This window comes from Homo sapiens, chromosome 16, assembly GCF_000001405.40.
Source record: "Homo sapiens chromosome 16, GRCh38.p14 Primary Assembly".
NCBI lineage: Eukaryota > Metazoa > Chordata > Mammalia > Primates > Hominidae > Homo > Homo sapiens.
The window spans coordinates 53,243,695-53,267,530 of NC_000016.10; the positions used below are offsets into that span (position 1 = coordinate 53,243,695).

Sequence of the window (23,836 nt, forward strand, 5' to 3'; positions counted from 1 at the left end):
TCATTTATGGTAAAAAGTCCTACACACTTCTACATGTTTAACATATGTTGGTTATAATTAATAGTGGGATTTCTTATAGTCATCTTTTTGTTAGTGTGTTTGCTTCTTTCAAATGAAAGCATTTTTTAAACATTTTGATTTTTAATTAAGATCACATAATTATTACATGAGCACTTGAACAAATAATTCAAATACAAAGAACCACATTCTGTAAAAACTTAAAGTTTTCCTTTTTACTCCCTGTCCATCTATGCCACACACCCAGTTCAACACCTCATTCCAGTATGGTTTCCTGTTTATCTTTCTGGGCCATTTGCTGCCATATACATAATGTGCAGATTCGCAGATACATATACAAATATTTAGCATGGGAATTTAAAGGTTTTGTCAAATAAAATTTTAAATAATTTATACTACCATTAAAAATATTCTATGTTTATTTTCTTCTTTTACTATTCTGTTTAATTTTTAAGGAATTGTAGTTTCAAAGCATATTTCTTTTTTTTTTTTTTTTTTGAGACTGAGTCTCACTCTGTTGCCCAGGCTGGAGTGCAGTGGCATGATCTCAGCTCACTGCAAGCTCTGCCTCCCGGGTTCACGCCATTCTCCTGCCTCAGCCTCCTGAGTAGCTGGGACTATAGGTGCCCACCACCACGCCCGGCTAATTTTTTGTATTTTTAGTAGAGATGGGGTTTCTCCGTGTTACCCAGGATGGTCTTGATCTCCGACCTCGTGATCTGCCTGCCTCGGCCTCCCAAAGTACTGGGATTGCAGGCATGAGCCACCGCGCCCGGCCTCAAAGCATATTTCAATTAGACCTTTACGTTCTTGGATTGTAACCTCAGTGATTTGATAATTCATTCATGTTTAAAGAGTTAAATGATGATCATCCAAATTATAAATGATGAGCACTCTTTGGTATACAAATTACCATACCAAGAATGTTTGAGTACAAAAGAAAAAATGCCCTCTTTGTTCTTAGAATGTTTTCTTTTTTTCTAAAATTATTTAGAATTTTTAAAGGCACGAATAGCATACAAAGTGAAGCATTTCAGAATGATACAGAGTTTTTAAAAAGCGATTGGGAAAGTACATTCCTAAAGATTTGTGGGTAGAGATGTAGTTTTTTGAGTTAACTCTTGAAAATTATGAGTCTGGGTACCGTGGCTCACACCTGTAATCCCAGCACTTTGGGCTTACTTGAGGCCTGGAGCCCGAGACCAGCTGGGTAACATAGTAAGATCTCATCTCTACAAAAAAATATTTTTTTAATTAGCCAGGTGTTGTGGTGCATACCTGTAGTCCTAGCTACTCGGGAGTCTGAGGCAGGAGGATCCCTTAAGCCCAGGAGTTCAAGGTTACAGTGGCACCACTGTAATTTATTCTAATCATTGTAATTATGTTGTATGTGTAATGCTGAACTATGATGGCATCACTGCACTCCAGCCTGGGTGTCACAGCAAGACCTTGTCTCTAAACAAACAAACAAATATATATATATACACACACACACACATAACATATATATATGTATATATAGTCAGAAAAATATTTGCATATTGATCATTCGATAATCTAAGTCAGCTTTCATATAATTTTAGTACTGTGATGTTTGATGTGAATTGTTCTCACTTTTTGTAGGAACACAAGGTGCTTTTGACTGGCACCCCTCTCCAAAATACAGTTGAAGAACTATTTAGTCTTCTTCACTTTCTTGAACCCTTAAGGTTTCCTTCTGAATCAACATTTATGCAAGAATTTGGGGATCTGAAAACAGAGGAACAGGTATCCTATTGCTCTTTGTAAATACATTCATCGCATTTCTAATCATTGTAATTATTTTGTATGTGTAATTAAATGCTCACTTATGTTATATGTCTTTTTATCATTTTTTATTCAGGTACAGAAACTTCAGGCTATCCTGAAACCAATGATGTTGAGACGATTAAAAGAAGATGTGGAAAAGAAGTTGGCACCTAAAGAAGAAACCATCATTGAAGTAGAACTTACTAATATTCAAAAGAAATACTACCGGGCTATCTTGGAAAAGAACTTTTCTTTTTTATCCAAAGGAGCAGGACAAACTAATGTACCTAACTTGGTCAATACCATGATGGAGCTCAGGAAATGTTGTAATCATCCATATCTTATAAAAGGTAGCTAAAAAAGATTACAACAAATATGTTTTTTCTTGCAACAAATACTAATGAATAAATAAACAGAACACACTACAGCTGTAGTGGCTGTTATGACTCTCCACTGTGATATTCTAAGGAATTACAAGTGTTACAGAATCAGAGGCAATGTGAACTGCTTTGTTACAGTGACTGATGTTAACACACCAGGTTATGACAGCAGCAGTTTGTTCAGTATAATTTGGACTAGAATTTGTCCTCTTGTTTAATCCTCCTCATAGGCAAAGACAGCAAAGCCCATTTTTGGGGCTTCTGCATTGCCATTTTTTTCCTGGTTTCCTTCCAGTCAAGATACATCAGTTAGTGTTTCAATTCTTGTGCTGTAATAATGTTACTTTTTAAGATCTTATCAGGTTCTTTCCCAGTGTTCTCTCTGTACAATGTTTGGGTTTTTCACTTATTCTTGGGAATATACGCCTCTCTACTCACTTTATTCAAGACAACTGAAGTCTCTTGTAGTTACAGTACTCTCTTATGGCTAGACAGGCTGAGGAAAGGAATACAGAGAGCCTCTTTAATTCTGATTTGGATTATCCGAAGGAAGTATGCATCAAGCACCTGTAACATGGCTTTCATTTTAATTTATTCTCTTCTTTCTTTCTTTTTCTGTGTTTTTTTGTTGTTGTTGTTTGTTTTTGTTTTTGTTTTAAGATACAGTGTCATTCTATCACCCAGGCTGGAGTACAGAGGTGTGTTCATAGCTCACAGTAGCCTCAAGCTCCTGGAAACTGACCCTTCTGCCTCAGCCTCCTTAGTAACTAGAACTAGGCATATGCACCACCATACCCAGCTGATTTCTTTTTTTTTTCTTTTTGGTAGAGATGGGGTCTTGTTATATTGCTCAGGCTGGTCTCAAACTCCTGGCCTCAGGAAATCCTTCTGCCTTGGCCTCCCAAAGTGCTGAAATTACAGGCACGAGCCACTGCACCTAGCCTTAATTTTTTCTTGTTTCCTTGTTTTGATGGCTAACAAGATGCCCATAGACACATCCAGATCAACTATGATCATCCTTCAGTGATGACCACTGTTATGATTGCTGTTTAAATATTAGATATTTAAAAATATATGTGTTTACTCAACTGAGTTAGGACCACAGTTTTATTTTTTCCCTAATAACATTCATTAAACATTTGGCAAACATAAATTTATAAAAGGCATTATGCCAGGTATCTGAGGAGACAAAAAGATGTTTAAGACCTTGTCTGTGTCCTCAATGGAATTACAGTCTGGTATTGGTGGAGGTTCAGCAACAAGCTTAAATAATTCTAATAAAAGCAATGTACATGCCATTAGAAAATTATGTTACAGAAGCACACAGGAGCACTAATTGTGATTAAAAGGAAAGCAATTGGGAATTTCCTGCATTTGCACATTGCTGTTATCTTCTCCTATTTCTTTGACAGGTGCTGAGGAGAAAATACTTGGAGAATTTAGAGATACTTACAATCCAGCTGCTTCTGATTTTCATCTTCAAGCAATGATCCAGTCTGCTGGTAAATTGGTCCTTATTGATAAATTGCTTCCCAAAATGAAAGCCGGAGGTCATAAAGTGCTCATCTTCTCTCAAATGGTTCGTTGCCTTGACATTCTGGAGGACTATCTCATACATAAAAGGTAAAGCATACTGAATTTACTGTGAATTATGCTAAGTATATGCTATTAAGATTTGTGCAGCACTGTAATGTAAATGAACTTTACTCATATCTTTCTCTTTGCTAGATTAGAATAATGCATTCAAATTTATAAGTAAAGATTGTTTAGGATTATGTGTTATATTTTCCTAACCTGCATATGTTGCAATATTAGATGTGCCTGAGGAGTCCAATTAAGAAAAGCTTGCAAATAAATATTTGTTTACCCAGGAATGGGTTTAAAAATGTACATTTTACTTGATTAATAAACCTTGTGGATGAAACTTTAAATAGATATATATTTACAACAGTCATCTTCAAAATTGAAAAAAGTGATTCAAGAACTTTGGATCTATTTCATTGTTATAATTAGAGCCTTAAGTTGTGGGACTTTTATTCTTATTATATACTATATAAAATTTGTTCATGCTTTAATTTTTTCTGATTTGTTTCAATGTGGGTTTTTTGTTTTGTTTTGTTTATTGGTACATCACAATAAGATAGTGTTAAATATTGTCTAATCAGGCCGGGCGCGGTGGCTCACGTCTGTAATCCCAGCACTTTGGGAGCCTGAGGCAGGCGGATCATGAGGTCAGGAGATCAAGACCATCGTGGCTTACACGGTGAAACCCACGTCTCTACTAAAAAAAAAAAAAATACAAAAAATCAGCCGGGCATGATGGCGGGCACCTGTAGTCCCAGCTATTCGGGAGGCTGAGGCGGGAGAATGGCGTGAACCTGGGAGGCAGAGCTTGCAGTGAGCCGAGATCGTGCCTCTGCACTCCAGCCTGGGCGACAGAGCGAAACTCTGTCTCAAAAAAAAAAAAAAAATTGTCTAATCAGTATTTAGGCTATAATAGGCTAATTATCGTAGGATATTTTATCAGACCATTAGGATTCCATCTGATAGTAACATATTAATGTAAAAGAGAATCAGAAATTTCAGCTATAGATTTTTTATTTTATTTTTTTTTGTTTGTTTTTGCTTTGTTGGTTTTTTTTTTTGTTTTTTTTTTTTTTTTGAAGACAGGGTCTCACTGTGTTGCCCAGGGTGTTGTGCAGTGGTGTGATCATAGCTCATTGCAACCTCGAACTCCTGAGCTCAAGCAATCCTCCCACCTCAGCCTCCCAGGAAGCTGGGACTACAAGCATGCACTACCACACCCAGCTAATTTATTTTGGGTAGAGACAGGGTCTCACTGTGTTGCCCAAGCCGATCTCAAACTCCTGGGCTCAAGCAGTTCTTCCACCTCAGCCTCCCAAAGTGCTAGGATTATAGGCATGAGCCACTGCACCTGGCTTGCAGATTTTAATTCAATAGATTTTAACCCATATAGATAAGTAAAGGTCTATACTGATTTATATTATTAGAGATTATGTAGTTCATTTTTATTTTTCATTTTTATTTCTAGTTCCATTTTTATTGTCAATGTCCTACTCTTTAGCCTCATTTTAAAATGTATAGTATTCTCAATTTTATATCATGTGATACGAACATTAAGTTGCACTGTTCCCAAAAATAGTAATTCTTATATTTTTTTAATCTTCTTACGTGGAGAACTTCATACAGATAAAATTACTTATCAATTTCTGTTGTAATAAATTTCATGGAAAATTCAGAGTTTCTTTATTGTCATAACAAACATTATTAGAAGTCTCCATTTTGCAGGTACCAGAGATAACCGCGGAGAGACTGCTAAAACTCTAGTAAATCATATGTAGAAGTGTGTCAGATGTCATATGTATACCACTTAGAGTCCAAGCTCCTAAATTTTTATGTATTTTATTTTTATTTGATGTCTTGCAGTTTTTGAGTTTTGTATATGTTAAATGGGGAAGGATAAAGGAAGTTAAAAGATAATCACTTTGCAGTAATGACTATAAAGAATTCAACAGCATTCCAGTGTATTCTTAATAGATTGCAATATAGAAGCAAGTATGTCAGTCGAGAGTAACATGGATTAAGGACAAAAGAAACATTCATAGCCTTCTTGTATAAAGTTTTTGTGAAAGTATTTCTTGCAAAAAAGTAATATATTATGATGAGATCAGCAAAGCAGTTTTTATAGACTGCCTTTTGTTATTCTAACTTCTGAAATAAAATTTATTGTAGTGTTCTTTTACCTATACATCTGGGAATTCAGAGGTTTTGTATCTTTATATTAGTTTTTGTTTTCTCCTTAACACCAACACCAAAAAGTATAAAGTCACAGAAACTACTTGAGATGATATTGCTTCTTAATTTTAGAGAAAACATAATGCTGCAGGAAAACTGACTTTACATTTGATAGAATATGTCTTCAGTTTTATTATACTTATTTATGTAAATTTATTCCATTTCATTCCATAGATACTTATATGAGCGAATTGATGGCAGAGTCAGAGGAAATCTTCGGCAAGCTGCTATAGATAGATTTAGTAAACCTGATTCAGATAGATTTGTTTTTCTCCTGTGTACCCGAGCTGGTGGGTTGGGCATCAACTTAACTGCAGCTGATACATGTATAATTTTTGATTCTGATTGGAATCCTCAGAATGATCTTCAGGTAAATAATTTCCTTGGCTAACAAAAAATGCATTTTTTAAAAAAGTAAAATTGTGTAACTTTTTGGTAATCCACATCTTTTATTTTTATCTGGACAAACTAATGTATGTTTCTCTATGAAATATCTGTGCCAAATAAAATAGGTGAAGTTATTTTAATTGTTATGATAAAAACTATAATGACAAAAATTTTTACTTTTTTATATGTCTCACTAACTTATATGTCTTACTAGCTTATAAAAAATTATACCTAATTGAGTACAGTACTTTTTGTTTGTTTATTTAGATATGAGGTCTCACTATGTTGCCCAGGCTGGTCTTGAACCCCAGGACTCAAGCATTCCTCCCATCTTGGCCTCCAAAAGTGCTGGGTTTACAGGCACGCATCATCACGCCTGGCCTGATATTTTTATAGTTTAAAGAATATTATGTAAACTTGAGAGAGACCTAAGCTTTAAGAATAATTTATTTGTAATAAAATTAAAATTTCAGAATTTTAATCCTTAAAAATAAGTACTCGCTTATTCTGATTTTATCTTGTAATCATAATATAGTATGCTTTTTTAATAAAATAGAAAATGAAGGCACACATATAAGTAAGACTATACTTGGACTACATAGAAATATAGGAATATTAATTACAGTGATCAAAGAGAGTCTAAATTTGCAGAAGGATATGAGAAGAGAACAAAATATAAGAGAAATTATTTTATTATTCATCATAGTCTTAATTGCATTGCAATTCATATTAGTACTTTTTTTTTTATAAAACTAGTCAAGTGTAGTCGTGAGAAGGGGAAAAGTAGAGTTCAATCTGTAGCTCTGAACAACCCATTAAATAACTACCTTCAGACCAGCCATATTATATTTTTAAACAAGCATAAAAACAAATATAATAAATGGTTATTGAGAATATACCTAGCTTAAAACATATTTTAAATTGCTTATTTATGTAACTATATGTAATCTACTTTAAAATATCAAAAGATTATCCAAAATTAATAAGCCAGAGACCACCAACTCTTTCTGTGGAAGGCTCAATTAGTAAATATTTCAAGCTTTGTGTGCCACATAAGATCTCTGTCACACATTCTTGTTTGTTTGTCATAATCCTTTAAAAAGGTAAAAAAGCCATTCTTAGTTGGCAAGCCAGATTTGGTCCACAGGCTGTAGTTTCCCAATTCCTACATTAAACCCAAATCATAATTGTTTGCCTTTGAAATGCATGTTTGTACTTATAAGTGCCCATAGTGGATGTTCTAAAAGTTAATTTAAAATAATAAAGTCACTTTATAGAACCTGAAGAGAAAGTATCCTGAATCTCCCAATTTCTCCCTCTCACTTGTTTTTTCCTATTTGACTGCTAATGTAGATCCAGTTGTTACAGACTAAGATAATATTTGGCCTCTTGTACTTCCCCTACACCTAGAGCAAAGTTGCCCATTTACAGTCCTGGGTTCCAAATGGCACAAAATGGATGTGGATAGAATAAAAGTGTCAATGAAGGGCAGAACATTAGTGCCCCCTATATATTTTAAAGCCACATTTTATGATTTAATTTGTCTGAAGATAATGGAAAGGTGATTAATAATTTGGGAGAAAAACTAGATTCTGTAGAATATTTGGAGTCAAGATTTATCATACAAAGTTTAAGGTTAGTCAGAACTCAAGATAAAATATGAAGCCCTTATGTGATCTCTGATGTCTCCACTTTTAACATGTATGCATATTAATTAGTTTGTCCTTCATTTAAATAAAATTTAGATATCCAGAGTTATTTACCTTGGGTGGTTTTTTTTCCCCCAAAAAATGACCCAGCTTAGAAAGAAATCATAGATGACACAAACAAGTGGAAATACATCCCATGTTCATGGATGGGAAGACTTAATATTGTGAAAATGCCCATACTGCCAAAAGCAATCTACAAATTCAATGCAATCCCCATCAAAATACCACCATCATTCTTCATAGATTTAGAAAATACAATTCTAAAATTCATATAGAACCAAAAAAGAGCCCGCATAGCCAAAGCAAGACTAAGCCAAAAGAACAAATCTGAAGGCATCACACTACCTGACTTCAAACTATACTGTAAGGCCATAGTCATCAAAACAGCATGGTACTGGTATAAAAATAGACACATAGACCAATGGAACAGAATAGAGAACCCAGAAATAAACCCACGTACTTACAGCCAACTGATCTTTGACAAAACAAACAAAAACATAAAGTGGGGAAAGGACACGCTATTCAACAAATGGTGCTGGGATAATTGGCAAGCCACATGTTAGAGAATGAAACTGGATCCTCTTCTCTCATCTTATACAAAAATCAACTCAAGATGCATTAAGGTCTTAAACCTAAGACCTGAAACTATAAAAATTCTGGAAAATAACATTGGAGAAACCCTTCTAGACATTGGCTTAGGCAAAGATTTCATGACTAAGGACCCAAAAGCAATTGCAGTAAAAACAAAGATAAATAGCTGGGACTTAATTAAACTAAAGAGCTTTTGCATGGCAAAAACAGACAGCAGAGTAAACAGACAACCCACAGAGTGGGAGAAAATCTTCACAATCTGTACTTCTGACCAAGTGCTAATATCCAGAATCTACACAACAAACTCAAATCAGAAAAAAAAAAAAAAACAGTTCCATCAAAAAGTGGGCTAAGGACATGAATAGACAATTATCAAAAGAAGATATACAAATGGCTGACAAACATGTGAAAAGATGGTCAACATCACTAATGATCAGGGAAATGCAAATCAAAACCACATTGAAATACCACTTTACTCCTGCAAGAATGGCCATAATCAAAAAATCGAAAAACAGAAGATGTTGGCGTGGGTGCAGTGAACAGGGAACACGTCTACACTTCTGGTGGGAATATAAACTAGTACAGCCACTATGGAAAACAGTATGGAGATTCCTTAAAGAACAAAAAGTAGAACTACTGTTTGATCCAGCAATCTCACTACTGGGTATCTACTAAAAGGAAAATAAGTCATTATTCGAAAAAGATACTTGGACACACATGTTTATAGTGGCACAATTCACAATAGCAAAATTGTGGAACCAACCCAAATGCCCATCAATCAATGAGTGGATAAAGAAACTGTGGTGGGTATATGTGCGTGTGTGGTGTGTATATATGTGTGTGTATATATATATATATATGATAGGATACTGCACAGCCATAAAAAACAATGAATTAACAGCATTTGCAGTGACCTGGATGATATTGGAGACTATTATTATAAGTGAAGTAACTCAGGAATGGAAAACCAAACATCGTGTGTTCTCACTCATAAGTGGGAACTAAGCTGTGAGGACACAAAGGCATAAGAATGGTATGATGGACTTTGGGGACTTGGGGAGAAGAGTGGGAGGTGGGCAAGGGATAAAATACTGCAAATATAGTGCAGTGTATACTGCTTAGGTGATGGTTGCACCAAAATCTCACAAATTACTACTAAAGAACTTATGTAACCAAATACCACCTGTACCCCAATAACTTATGGAAAAAAAGTACCCAGCTTAAATAAAATATATTGAAAAGATTGTTGATAATGTAATTGAAAAAAATTTAGAAATTTAGCGTTAGACTTTAAAACTTGAGTGGTAGCTCACACCTGTAATCCCAGTACTTGGAGAGGCCAAAGTGGTAGGATCTCTTGAGCCCAGGAGTTCGATTGGGCAACATAGCAAGTCCCCATGTCTAAAAAAAACAACAAAAAACTTGAGTTGCCATCAACTATAAAATCTGTTCATAGGTTTTGTGTCCCTGCCTAAAAGTATACTGACTACACTTCCGTTAAAACATAATAAGGCAAGGCGCAGTGGCTCATGCCTGTAATCCCAGCACTTTGGGAGGTTGGGGCGGGTGGATCACTTGAGGTCAGGAGTTCGAGACCAGCCTGGCCAACATGGTGAAACCCCATCTCTACTAAAAATACAAAAATTAGTCAGATGTGGTGGCAGGTGCTTGTAATCCCAGCTACTCAGGAGGCCGAGGCAGGAGAATCACTTGAACCCAGGAGGCGGAGGTTGCAGTGAGCCAAGATCGCACGACTGCACTCCAGCTGGGGTGACAGAGCAAGACTCCATCTCAAAAAACAAACAAAAAAAATAGTCCTTTGTGAATTTATATTCTTTGATATTTAAGCTTATAAACCTAAATTTTAACTTACTACTGATTGTGGGATTATTTCTCATTGTGGTAAGCTCTCCCTTAATTTCTAGAAAAAGGTTATATCTAATTCAATAAAAATGGTCTAAGAATTCTTGTATGTGTTTATATGCCATACATATAGTTTACTATTAAATGCCTTTTGAGAAACTAATTAAATATGTAACTTTTCATTTTTATAGGCCCAAGCTCGTTGCCACAGAATTGGTCAGAACAAAGCAGTTAAAGTCTACAGACTGGTAACTCGTAACTCATATGAGAGAGAGATGTTTGACCGAGCCAGTTTGAAACTGGGCCTAGATAAAGCTGTGTTACAGAGCATGAGTGGAAGAGAAAGTAATGTTGGTGGTGTATGTATAGTTTCTTTTTCACTTGAGATTTTTGTGTGTTTTTGCATTTGATTTTACCTCCAATAGTGTGTCATTTAGTTTTGGTCCATGCAGAATACTAAACACATTTGTTTTCTGCAGGGGAACATTTTCAGGACAGAGCTATGTTTAGTTAATACTTTTGAATCCTTTTCTTTCTGTGTAGCTCCAGAGCTTATGAATTCTAAATGTATTTTCAAGATAGAAATTCTTTGCTCTCTTTTTAGGACATTTGTATGATGGCATAGCAAAATAGAATTTGTGTTTATATAAACAATTTTCAAATTCTTTTTTTAGTGTCAATCTACTAGCATTGGCTTTGTCTTGTTATAAATGATGACATTTTGGCTTTTTTTTCGCTCAAGGTTCTTGCCTAATATCTATCGGTAATAGGATCCTAGTACTGGGCTGGGCACATGGCTCACACCTGTAATCTCAGCACTTTGGGACGCTGAGGTAGGAGGATTGCTTGAGCCTAGGAGTTTGAGACAAGCCTGGGCAACATGGCAAGACCCTGTCTCTATAAAAAATAAAAATTAGCTGGGCATAATGGTGCATGCCTGTGGTCCACACCACTTGGGAAGTTGAGGCAGGAGACTCGCTTGAGTCCAGGAGGTCAAGGCTGCAGTGAGCTGTGTTTACACCACTGCACTCTAGCATGGATAACAGAGCAAGACCCTGTCTTAAAAAGAAAAAAAATAAAAAATAAAGAAAAGAACCTTGAAAGATGTTACCCAACCCTTAGGCCTTGTTTTAACCAAAGCCATTCTAGGCAGATGGGTAATTCTTATTTTAACAGAGCAAAGAAGAGTCAACAACTTCAATGTATTATTTCTGTGAATTCTCTCTTATGCGCATCCCAAACCCAAATGCAGTTTAAGCATGCCTCTTGTGTTCTTTGACATCCTTTAGGGATACTTTCTCACTTTATGAACTTTAAAAAAAACTATTTTTATGGAAGTTAATTTCTCCTTAGATTCAGCAGCTTTCCAAAAAGGAAATAGAAGATCTGCTTCGAAGAGGTGCTTATGGTGCTATTATGGAGGAAGAAGATGAAGGCTCTAAATTCTGCGAAGAGGATATCGATCAGATTTTACTACGTCGTACAAAAACTATTACAATTGAATCAGAAGGACGTGGGTCAACATTTGCCAAGGTAATAGTGGGTGCAATTTTATTAACATAGCAGTGATGTTCACATCCTAACTACTGAGAAAGTTTAATTATCTCTTATACCGAATGTTTAAACATACTGAATTAGCCAAGATGCAGTAGGTAATGTATTTTCCTTCATTTTTTTCTGATCCCTTATGTTAATTTCACATGAACTTTTCTGATCCTTGTGAAACAGAATAAATGTAATAACTAGAAATGGTTCTAAATGTTAGAGTAGAACATATGAAATCAAAGAAATTTAGAAACTAAACATCTGTATATACCAAAGGCAGAACAAAATGTAAGTAATGTAAGAGGTTAAATCAGCTTACATCAACTTTCATAATTTGAAGAACCTAAAGGAGAGAGAAAATTTCCTATTTCATTTTAAATACTTAAATCTGGCCGGGCGAGGTGGTTCACATCTGTAATCCCAGCACTTTGGGAGCCAAGGCGGGTGGATACGTGAGGTCAGGAGTATCTAAGTCTTAAGGGGTAAGATGAAATTTGTATTTTGGAAGGAAACATTAATAACTCTATACTCTGTTAGGCGATAATATTTGTAAAGTTTACTAATTGCCTTTATATTCCTTTTTTCTTTTCTTTTTTTTTTTTTTTTTTTTTTGAGACAGAGTCTCACTCCGTCACACAGGCTGGAGTACAGTGGCACGATCTCAGCTTACTACAACCTCCACCACCATGCCCGGCTAATTTTTGTAATTTTAGTAGAGACGGGGTTTCGCCATGTTAGCCAGTCTGGTCTCAAACTCCTTACCTCAGGTGATCCACCCGCCTCGGCCTCCCAAAGTGCTGAGATTACAGGCATGAGCCACCATGCCTGGCCATATTCCATTTTTCTTTCTCTCTCCTTTTTTTTTTTTTTCCAAATCAAGACATGATAAACTTACCTCTTCCATTCATCTGAATAGTTTATTATTGGAGTATTCTGTCTCACCTGCACTAATTGCAGAAAACTACATACAAGTTTTCTCTTTTCCACTGAACTTCCTTTCTACATTTCCCTTCTTCCCCATTCCCCTCTCTGCTTTCAATCCAGAAGTTTTTCTTTATCTTTATGGGGAATATTGTGGTATAGCAGGAAGTACAGGTGCTGTACCAAAGTAAGATACCAGCCTTCAAATAGAAACTCACTTGCATTCATTTAGCAGACTAATAAATTCTTGTGTCAGGTATTTTGCTAAATGCCAGGAATACTAAAATGAAAGGATTATAGTTGCTGAAAAAAAATAAAGTAGGAGATTATTAATTCTGTATATTCTGAATAAAGAAAGCCTTTGCAAAGAAAAGAACATTCAACCTGAGTCTTGAGGGAATTGCGAATTTCATTGTTTTACAAAGAGAAAGAAAAAGCCAGCTAAATGAGTCATATGTTGCTAAACTACAAGGAATATTTCAGGAATGTGACATAGGCATGTATGGATACAGGAGATGAATTACATGGAGATGAAACGGTGAAGGAGTTAGGGAAGTTGAACCCAAATTGTGAAGGGCTTTATGTGCCATTTTGAGGAATTTGAAATTGATCCTAAGGCAGTTAAGCTTTTAAAGTCCTTCAAGCAGAAATTGGACATAATGCAATCTGGTTTAGAAATTTAACTCTAGCAGCAGCATGGAGAACAAGTTGGAAAGGGGAAAGACTAGAAACAGGATTATTTAAGGGACTTGTGTATGAAATAATGATGGGTGAACCAGGGTCATGGAGACCTACTTGAATCAATAGGTGTAGATGACCAGTTAGAAATTTTGAGAAGGAAGAGTCAGAAATGACTTGAAGATTTTTTGCTTAAGTAGCTAGGAGGGTCATGGTTGTCTTTAAGATAGAGAAGGACATTTATATGGGGAAAAGAAAGTATTGGAGCTGTTGTATTTATGACATTTACAGGATCCAAATGGAGATGTCTAGGAGAGTTGCCTGGGACACAGATACAGATTTGGAAATTAGTAGAGAATAAATCAGAAAAAAAGTAGTTCCTTTTGTTTCCAAAAGGAACATTGCAGAAGTAAAGTATAAGACTGAGAACTAAAACTAGTCATGACTAAGTAGATGTACCCCGGCTCTAGTTTTTTTCCTGGGAAATCTTACTTAGTTTTGATTCCTTGGTTCTCTACTCTATGGACAGAAATATTTTTCCTCATATCTGAAATCTAATTAATATCAAAAGGTGGTCATGGTTACTGTCCTTGTTGATTAGGCCAAACATGGAGATACTGTCCTTAAAGTTGTTGTTTTGTTTTGTTTTTAATTAATGAAGGCATATACAAAGCATTTAATGAGCACATGTGATTCTTGGCTTCCTTATTTAACATGTTAATGATAATGATCATGGAAAGTCAGAAAAATAGGTTTTGAATTCTGATTCATAAGCTGAGTGACCTTGAACAATTAACCTCTTTGAGTCTTACTTTAAAGAGGAGGTCATAATAATCGTACTTGGCCTTTCCTACTTTACTATACAGTGCTATCTAACTTTTATTTTCCTTAGAGAACTCAAGTATACTCTAATGCTCTGAGAATTGAGAAATGCTTAAACATTTGAATATCTACTTTAAATCCTCACACCAGAGAGTAACTATCACATTTGAAAACTGATAAGGTACCACAATGCTGAGGAGAGTTGAGAGGTTGCTCTAGTTGTTTTATAATTTGTTCATTTCCCAAATAATTTGTTCATTCCCATAGTTGTATGGGAATGCTATTAGATACTGGACATTTGCCAAAATGGGATATGGTGTAAAGTTAGTAGTATTTTACACTTTTTCCTGCGACCCAAAGACTTCAGCTCTGCTCAACTGTTTTCAACAATCTGAAGAAATAAAATAATTCCATTCTTTGTTTCTTTGCATTATCAAATAGTATTTAATAAGGAGCTACATATATGGAACAGGGTCCTTATGAGACTATTCAGACTTAGTACATATACATCAAATAGATAGAACTCATTATTGGTAACTTCATTTTCAAGTGATGATATCCCCTAAAACTTGTTTTGAGAGATTTTTATAAGGGCAGCCAGGTGGGTCCTAGAAAAAGAAACGTTTCTAGTCTGATTTTTAAAAATTTGATAGAGAACAAAATACTTTGAATTGCTTAATTTACAAAGGAAAGAAAACCATCTAAATTGTGCTTCAGATGGATTGCTTATTTGTAAGGGCCTTTAGTTGGCACCTTCTGCCTTTCTGCCACTGTCTGTCATAGGAAGATGGATTTCGCAATTTAAAATCTTCTCTTGCAAATAATACAGAGATTTAATGGCGGAAGGAATGCATTTTAAGAAGAAAAATTTAGGGGGAACTAGGATATTAGGATTTAGTATTTGGAAGGAGTAGCATCTTATTTCTATAGGCATAATTGCTTGTCACAATCCTTGAGAATCATGTAAGCTATCTTGTAAATAGGTTATATATGTCAGTTAGCAAAAGCCTCTTGAATTGTTTAGAAATTTAAAATTGTTTTATTTGTAAATTAAATTTATCATTTGTCTTATAATGAATGTAACAAAGCTATTTAATTCTGAAATTTAATTTCTTCCAGGTAAATTTTTTACATTATCAATAGTTATATGATAGCAGAATAAAAATTATTATACACTGTAGCATATAATTTTTTTTTAGGTAAACAACCAAAAAGTAACACACTTTAAAATCTGATTGTGTCCTTTCAATTACTTCATGTTTAATCGTTCCTCATGGTTTTTTGCTTTTTGTTGTTGGGTTTTTGTTTTTTCTTTTTTGAGACAGATCTCACTCTGTCACTCAAGCTGGAGTGCAGTGGTGCAATCAACGATTCACTACAGCCTTGACTTCCTGGGCTCAAGTGATCCTCCTGCCGCAGCCTCCCATGTTGCTGGGACCACAGGCACATGCCGCCATGCCCAGTTAATTTTTTGATTTTTTAATAGAGATGGGAGTCTTACTTTGTTGCCCAGGCTGGTCTCAAATTCCTGAGCTCAAGAAGTCGTCCCACCTTACCCTCCCAAAGTGTTGGGATTATAGGCATGAGCCACTATGCCCAGCCTGCTTTTCATGTTAAATGTTCTCCAGTTCACGTAAGGCAAATACTCATTTACCAGATTGGTTAAATCTCAAGAGGCATGTATCACTGAAACTGTAGAACAGAATAAAACCCTATGAATGTCATTCAGTAAACTTCACTATTCCTGAAAATTGATATGTTTATAATAATGAAGATATTAAAGTATCATATATCCTCAGTTGTGAAAAATTTGTTCTGAAATAGTTAAGGAATTACTTGCACGTAGTTAGATGTCTGTTCCTCATACTCATTTATACCAGTTTGATGAATTGTTTTAACATACTTATTTTATACAGCTAATGATAGCTGTGTTGTTTTGTTTTATCAAACTAGTTAGTCTTTGTTCTTTCAAGTTGGATATGAAGGTCAGGACTGGTGGCACACGCCTCTAATTCTAACACTTCGGGAGGCCAAGGCAGGAAGATCACTTGAGGCTGGAAGTTCAAGACCAGCCTAGGCAACAAAGTGAAACTCCATCTCTACAAAAAAGTTAAAACTCAGCCAGGCAAGCTGGCATATGCTTGTTGTCCCAGCTACTTGGGAGGCTGAGGCAGGAGGATTGTTTGAGACCAAGAGCTAGAGGCTGCAATGAGCCATGATCATACAGCTGTACTCCAGTCTGGGCAACAGAGTGAGACCTTTTCTCAAAAAAAAAAAGTTGAATATGAGTTTTTATAATATGTGGTTTCTCGTTAAGAGTGTCTGATGCTATTTCCTGTTGTCATTGTAACAAATTATTACAAAGCCCATGAGGTTCATGGCTTAAGACAACACAAACTTTTTCTCTTATAGTTCTAGGTGTCAGAAGTCTAACATGAGTCTTACAGGGATAAAATCAAGGTGTCAGTAGGGCTGGTTCATTCTGGAAGCTTTAGGGGAGAATCTGTTTCTTATTTCTTCCACTTCCTAAGACTGCCTGCATTCCTTGGCTTGCGGCCACAGTACTCCCATCTCTGCTTCTGTCATGTCATATCCTTTTTCTCTTCTAGAGTCAAATCTCCCACTGCCTCACTTTTGTAAGAACATTTATAATTACATTTAGGGCCTACTTGGATAATACAAGGTATCTCTCTATTTCAAGGTCCTTAACTTAATCATATCTGCAAAGTCCCTTTTCCATATAAGACAAAACTCACAAGGTTCCAGGGATTAGGATGAGGTATCTTTGGGGACCATTATTCAGTTTATCACATTCATCAGTTCAAAGAAATACAAAATTAGTTTTTCAGTAGTTTTATATTAAAGCTATAGTTTAGAGAAAGCAAAAAAAAAAAAAAGGGAATTTAAATTCATTTCATTAAAACATTTGTTCCTGTCATTTCTGTTTAATAAATATGCGCAAAATGTACATTTTGAAACACAGTATTTAACATTTGCTTTATTTTATATAAGCATCTTAAAAGCCAAACCTCAAAAGAATACTAGATTGAATGAATGAGTACATTTATTACCTGGTAAGCAATAACATGAACAGAATCTGAAGTTCAGCAAGAAGCATTTAGCCTTTTAATTTTTGGTGTTTTAGACTTTTTTTTTTTTTTTTTTTTTTTTTTAGACAGGTTCTTGTTTTCTCGCCAGGCTGGAGTGCAGTGGTGCAATCATGGCCCACTGTAGCCTTGACCTCTCAACCTCCTGGGGTCAAGTGACCCACCCACCTCAGCCTCCCAAGTAGCTGGGACTACAGGTGTGCACCACCACCTCAGGCTAATTTTAAAAGAAATTATTACAGAGATGGGGTCTCACTATGTTGCCCAGGCTGGTCTTGAACTTGTGGGCTCAAGTAATCCTCCTGCCTTGGCCTCCCAGAGTTTTGGGATTTACAGACGTGAGCCACCATGCCTGCCTTGGATGTTTTCTAAAGTTTAAACTGCAAATACAGACAGTATTCAACAGTTATCAACTCATGCTAAACTTGTTTCATCACCACCTCCCACTTTTTCATACTGTTTCGAAGCAAATCCCAGATATAATCACCACCTTTACATGTTTCCATATGTATCATTAAAAATAAAGACTTTTAAAACATACTACAATACTATTACCACATTTAAAAATAAAATGAAACAATTCCTTGGTATTAATTATCTAGTGCTTAAACTGACAGTTATCTTGAATATCAAAAAATGGCTTGTTTGCTTTTAACAGTTTTATCTTTTTAATGTGGGATTTTTCTGGATCTTTTAAATTTTATCAAGACTTTTTCTTTAATTAAGATTTTTACCTTTTGTTTGTATCCCTGATAATTGGGCATTATCTTAAAACCATTTACCACTAGTCTCCTTTGAAAATCGTTTTATGTGACCATATTCTTCTATTTATTTTTATAAAAATTCACATATATTTTTCAGGCCCTTAACACATTGTGTATCTTCAATGCTTCTTTCATTTTTATAAAGCATTTTGATGACATTTTTTGATGAGGCCTATTTACAGTGATTTAAATTGTAAATAATGGTTATTAGAACACAGGTTAAAGAGTTGAAGTGTTATCTTTAGAGTTTCTTCCAACTAAAAGATTTTATAATTTCCACAGTATTTACGAAAATAAATCACTTGTATTTTCTTCTTTTGCTCCTCAATATTTTCTTAAATTTTTACAGTGGTTATGCAGTGTTTCTGTGGTAAGGTAGAGTTTCTTTTTTGTGTGTGTTTGGGAAAAGAGTTTTTAAAATGACAATGATTTATTTTCCTTTATTTCCCATATCCTGTGTTATATTTCCTTTAGGAGATATTACTATCTGAAAATGTGATGAAAATAAACTAGAAATATACCAGAAAATTAACTCTGTAGTGCAGGCAGGTTTGGAAATTCTTGTTCTCTAACCTAATTTCTTAATGGTCTTGTAATGTTTTTAGAAACCATACCCCCATTCTCTGTAGCCTCCCCACCAAAAAGATTCAGTCCTTACCAAAAGTATCAGAGTTAACCAACAGTAATAACTTATTTAATTCTGCTCCTAAACTTCAGCCTGTGTTTGCATTAAGCCTTTGCCTTAAGCAGATGCAGTGCTGTGTTTCAGACCACTGAATTTGAAACACCCTTTGATGTATGAGTATGCAGAATTCAAATTCTATCCATAGTAAATGTGAGGAGATAATGTTTTAAGTGTACTTTGATAGATTTTTCCTCTAAAACTGCCATTATATATTTCAGGCGAGTTTTGTGGCATCTGGAAACCGGACAGATATTTCTTTAGATGATCCCAACTTCTGGCAAAAATGGGCTAAAAAGGCAGAAATAGATATAGAGGCCATCAGTGGCAGAGTAAGTATTTTTATCCCTCTAAAATAAACTTGCTTTTGGGATACTTTGGCAATAGTATTGTAATATTTTAAGGTGTTCAATTATGCAGTTACTAAAACAAATTTCTAGATATATAAATTGAAGTAGGGTAGCAGAATGAACTGAGTGAGGTTCTCCTCCAATTTAATACATCTAATATCTCCCATGATGGGTTATCCCTACAGGGAAGGTTTAACTTTTGGATATAATTTACATTCTTAAAATTATAATATGTTTTTTAAATTTTTTAATGTCTTCAAATCATGGGTTACATTTATTTTCTCTTTAATGTTTTCTTAGTGTCAGAACCCATTAATGATAATCTAGTAAAATGTAAATAAGAGGAGAAAAAAAGCAGTCAAGAAAGTGGCATTTTTTAAACTGCTTCTCTTATGACTTCCCTTGAGCTAAGAAAAGGTCAAAATGCTAAAATTCACTTTATGGAACTGATAATAATAGCATAACTGCTTATTTACTAAGACACACTTGTCTAATAATTGTATAGAAATCAGTGTTTTTCAGTCTTACCAATTATCAAAATAACAGCTAGATGATTAAAGGAATTTTATATTAAGCACTCATGCATTGGATCTTTGTTGATAGCCTTTTAAAATGTAAAGCTTTACAATTAGGAGTAACACCACTACCATCCATAAGTATTATTGTTGAATGCATTTTGGAAATATATGTAATTCTGTGTGAAACAGGTAAACGTGAAAAGGTAATTATAAAAATATTATTGGCATATGGCATGTTCATATACCTAAACAAGTAGTGGGGTCTGCAAAACACTATAAAAGTTCGTAAGTGAGTTTAGTGAATTAACTGGATAGAAGATAAATATGCCATTGAGCCTTCCTAAATATCAGTACTAACAGAAATAGAAAAATATAATGTAATAGGATATCTACTTCACAGTAGAAAAAAAAAAGATATAGAACACTTAAGAATATACCTAAAGAAAGCTGTGTTTGATTTCTGTAAAGTGAAATTTGGTTGGGAGATGTGTCCATTGGGAATATTTTAAACATTTTAATAGTTCGTTTGTAAACATAGAAATGTTATGTAGATGTAATGCAATGCAAATCAGAATGTTAAACAATTTTTTCTTATAACTAGAAAAAATAATTTTAAATTTTTTTGGAAGAATATTTAATGCACTCAGGAATCGGCCCTGCAGCAATAAGCATACATGTACAATGATAATATAGTACAGTGATACTCATTGCAGCATTTTTTGTTATAGCAAAAATTTAGAAACTAAATTTTCTATATGGGAGCAATGGTACATTCATACTGTCTAATGCAATAATTAAAAATAAAAAATAATAAGAATGGACATTCTTATGTACCATGTACTGTGGACTAACAGAGCTCCAAGACAGAGAAAGAGAGAGATGCAGAATGATGCTTACAATGTGATCTCTATTTATGATTTTTCAGCAGTATATATTGGTAATTACATCCTGGTGGGTAAGAAAGTGGTAAACAAATATATAAGATAATTTAGAGAGTGAGGAAAATAAAGCAGTAAGATGGCAGAGAATGCTGGAGAAGTAGAATTAGACTAGGTGAAGTGATCAAGGGAGGTCACTGCGAAAGGATTATCTGCACGGAGACTTGAATGAAGAGAAAGAGCCAATACACTGTAATGTCAGGAAAAGCTTTGAGGCAGAGGGAATGGCAATGAGACACTGGTAGAAATAAGCTTAGTGTATTCTAGAAGCAGAAATACATTATGGCAGAATGTGAAGAGTTAGTGAGTGTGGTGGTAATAGATGAGGTCAGAGACTGAAGACATGGGCCAAATCAACAGGGCTTTGTAGATTATTTTAAGGCGTTAAGGATTTTGTAAATAAACTTATATAAGCATATAGTCATTTAATACTTTTGCAGTAACATTTTAAAGTTTATACTTTTGTAAAAAATTAAGGACTTTTCTGAAAATGTACAATAAAGACTAACATTACTGTATGTTAAAGTGTCTAAATATATTAATACAGCTGGGCACAGTGGCTCATTCCTGTATAATTCCAGCACTTCAGGAGGCTGAGGCAGGAGGATTGGTTGAAGCTAGGAGTTTGATACCAGCCTAGGCAACATAGCAAGACCCTGTTCTCTACAAAAAAATTTAAAATTAGCTAGGCGTGATTGTGCGTGCCTGTAATCCTAGTTACGAAGGAGCCTGAAGGTGTGAGGATGGCTTGACCCCAAGAGTTCGAGGTTGCAGTGAGCTGTGATTGTGCCATTGCACTCCAGCCTGAGTGACATCAAGAACCTTTCTTTAAAAAATTAAATTAGTTTAAAAAAATAAAATACATTAATATAAAATAATAGTTTAAAAAGTATGGTACTGACAGAAAGATACCAAGCAAAGAATGGGATAACAACAGAAAAAGATCAAAGTATAAGTTTATGAAATATACAAATAGTGCTAAAGAAAGATGATTTAATAAATGGTGATTAGGATATTGGATTAGCATTTGGGAAGAGCGTTATAATCCTATGCTCTATACCAAGTAAACTCTAATTTGTGATAAAAGATTTTTAAGTGTTTTTTAATCAAAACATGAAAAATAGAAATTAGATTTCTTTTCACAAATATTTGGGTGGGAAAACATTCTAAATTAGAAATTACAAAGGAAGTGATTGGCATATTTAACTATACAAGACAGAATTATGTAATGGAAAAATGAAAGTGCAGTCAGACTGGTGACACTATTTGTAGCAGACATGTGTATGAAAGTTAATGTTTCTATTACATAAAAGCTAATATAAGTAGATCAAAATTGTATCAAATCTCAAAAGATTTGGGGAAAAAGACATTTGAAAATTAAGAAAAAAATACAATTAGTTTTTTGTTTTTTTTTTTAAGGAAACTGGGAAGGGGAAAAAGAGGAAAAGGGACAACTCTTTCTTACGGAAGAATTCCATTTAATAAATGTAGAAGGAATGAAGGAAATAAAAAATCACCATGAATCAACTGCAGTAATAATTGTAGCATACAAGATCCATCAGTGAATTCTAAAATTAGTGGGTAAAAGTTTAAGGAGACACAACATATTTATGTGTCTTCAAAGTATATCTTCCAAAATACATATTAATTCCAAAAGGAAAACTAGTAACTTCACAGTGGAGAAACTTGGCAAAAGTTAACATCACCTGTCATAGGACATCACATGCCCCTTAAATATAATGCATTCCATACATATTATGGCATACCAGGACCTTTATGGTCTGGTCCCTGCCTTCTCTCCTACCATTTGTCCTCTCCTGCTCTAGGACATAAGCATTTCCTGAAAATCTGATACCACTTCAGGTCCCTTGCTCTTTCCTCTACTTGTAATGCTATCTCTTCCCTCACTGCCTGGCAAACTACTTCTAATACTTTAAGAAGTCTTTCTAGTATCACTACTTTGTGACATTTTCTCTGACTGTGATACCTCTTATATCATAAAAAATTTCATCCCAAATAGCATTTGTTTAGTGACACATTTGTCCGTGTAACTAAAACTTTGGATTCCTTATGAGTAGAAACAGCCTTATTCATCATTATACCACAGCCCATAACATAGTGCCTAGCTTAGAGAAGTTTCTCAATAAAAATAAAAAGTATGTTAACATAAATTGTTTTGAATGAATTAAACTGAATCGAACATACTGAGGTTGATGCAATTAACTGCCTTGCTTTCTTTGTATTAAGTCTTTTGGAAAGCGCTGTAAAATATTCATAACCTTTGACCAGTATTTCCATTTCTGGATACTTCCCTTCTTTTGAATTTACCTTTAGAATAAACTTAAGCCACAAAGATTTACTTTAGCATTATTTATTTTAAAAATTAAGAACAATCTAAATTATGAATTAGGTAAAGAAAAATTATAAGGCATAAATTCAGTTTAAAATATTTTTATGATTACAATAATGTTATATTAATATACAAAATATCAAGTTCTTTTTATCCTATGACTATAATGTCATAAAATTTTACATGTGTGGTAGTAAGAATTCTAAAGGAATATAAGCAATTCTAAGTTGACTGAATAGGTTGGTGAAATTGTTAGTTGTTTCTTTTTGTCTGTGTTTCTGTAATTATTGTTTGTATAAGGTAAAAATGTAGAACACTGTTGTAAGCAAAATCATAAAAGTACCTTCAGGTAATAGCAGTTCTGTTTTACAGAACAGCTTGGTTATTGACACTCCAAGAATTAGGAAGCAAACAAGACCTTTTAGTGCCACAAAAGATGAATTGGCTGAATTATCTGAAGCTGAAAGTGAAGGAGATGAAAAGCCCAAACTCCGGAGACCCTGTGACCGTTCCAATGGCTATGGAAGAACTGAATGCTTTAGAGTTGAGAAAAACCTGCTAGTTTATGGGTAAAACATTGTTTTTAATGTTTGCTCTAAGTAGTCTGGT

The 23,836-nt window shown here is 34.6% G+C and overlaps 1 protein-coding gene across 43 annotated transcripts in view; it reads left to right on the forward strand.

Moving 5' to 3' along the window:
* Positions 1 to 23,836, forward strand: part of CHD9 (chromodomain helicase DNA binding protein 9) — a 272,507-nt gene that overhangs the window by 188,704 nt on the left and 59,967 nt on the right. For all 43 annotated transcript variants that reach the window (XR_007064921.1, XM_047434707.1, XM_047434693.1 and 40 more), the window contains 8 exons: positions 1,642 to 1,785; positions 1,901 to 2,156; positions 3,599 to 3,809; positions 6,177 to 6,372; positions 10,744 to 10,911; positions 11,906 to 12,085; positions 19,293 to 19,403; positions 23,600 to 23,796. Coding sequence is in view for 42 of the 43 variants with exons in the window: in XM_047434707.1 (XP_047290663.1) it covers positions 1,642 to 1,785; positions 1,901 to 2,156; positions 3,599 to 3,809; positions 6,177 to 6,372; positions 10,744 to 10,911; positions 11,906 to 12,085; positions 19,293 to 19,403; positions 23,600 to 23,796 (1,463 nt within the window). In the remaining variant the exon portion in view is untranslated. The remainder of the gene's footprint in view (positions 1 to 1,641; positions 1,786 to 1,900; positions 2,157 to 3,598; positions 3,810 to 6,176; positions 6,373 to 10,743; positions 10,912 to 11,905; positions 12,086 to 19,292; positions 19,404 to 23,599; positions 23,797 to 23,836) is intronic.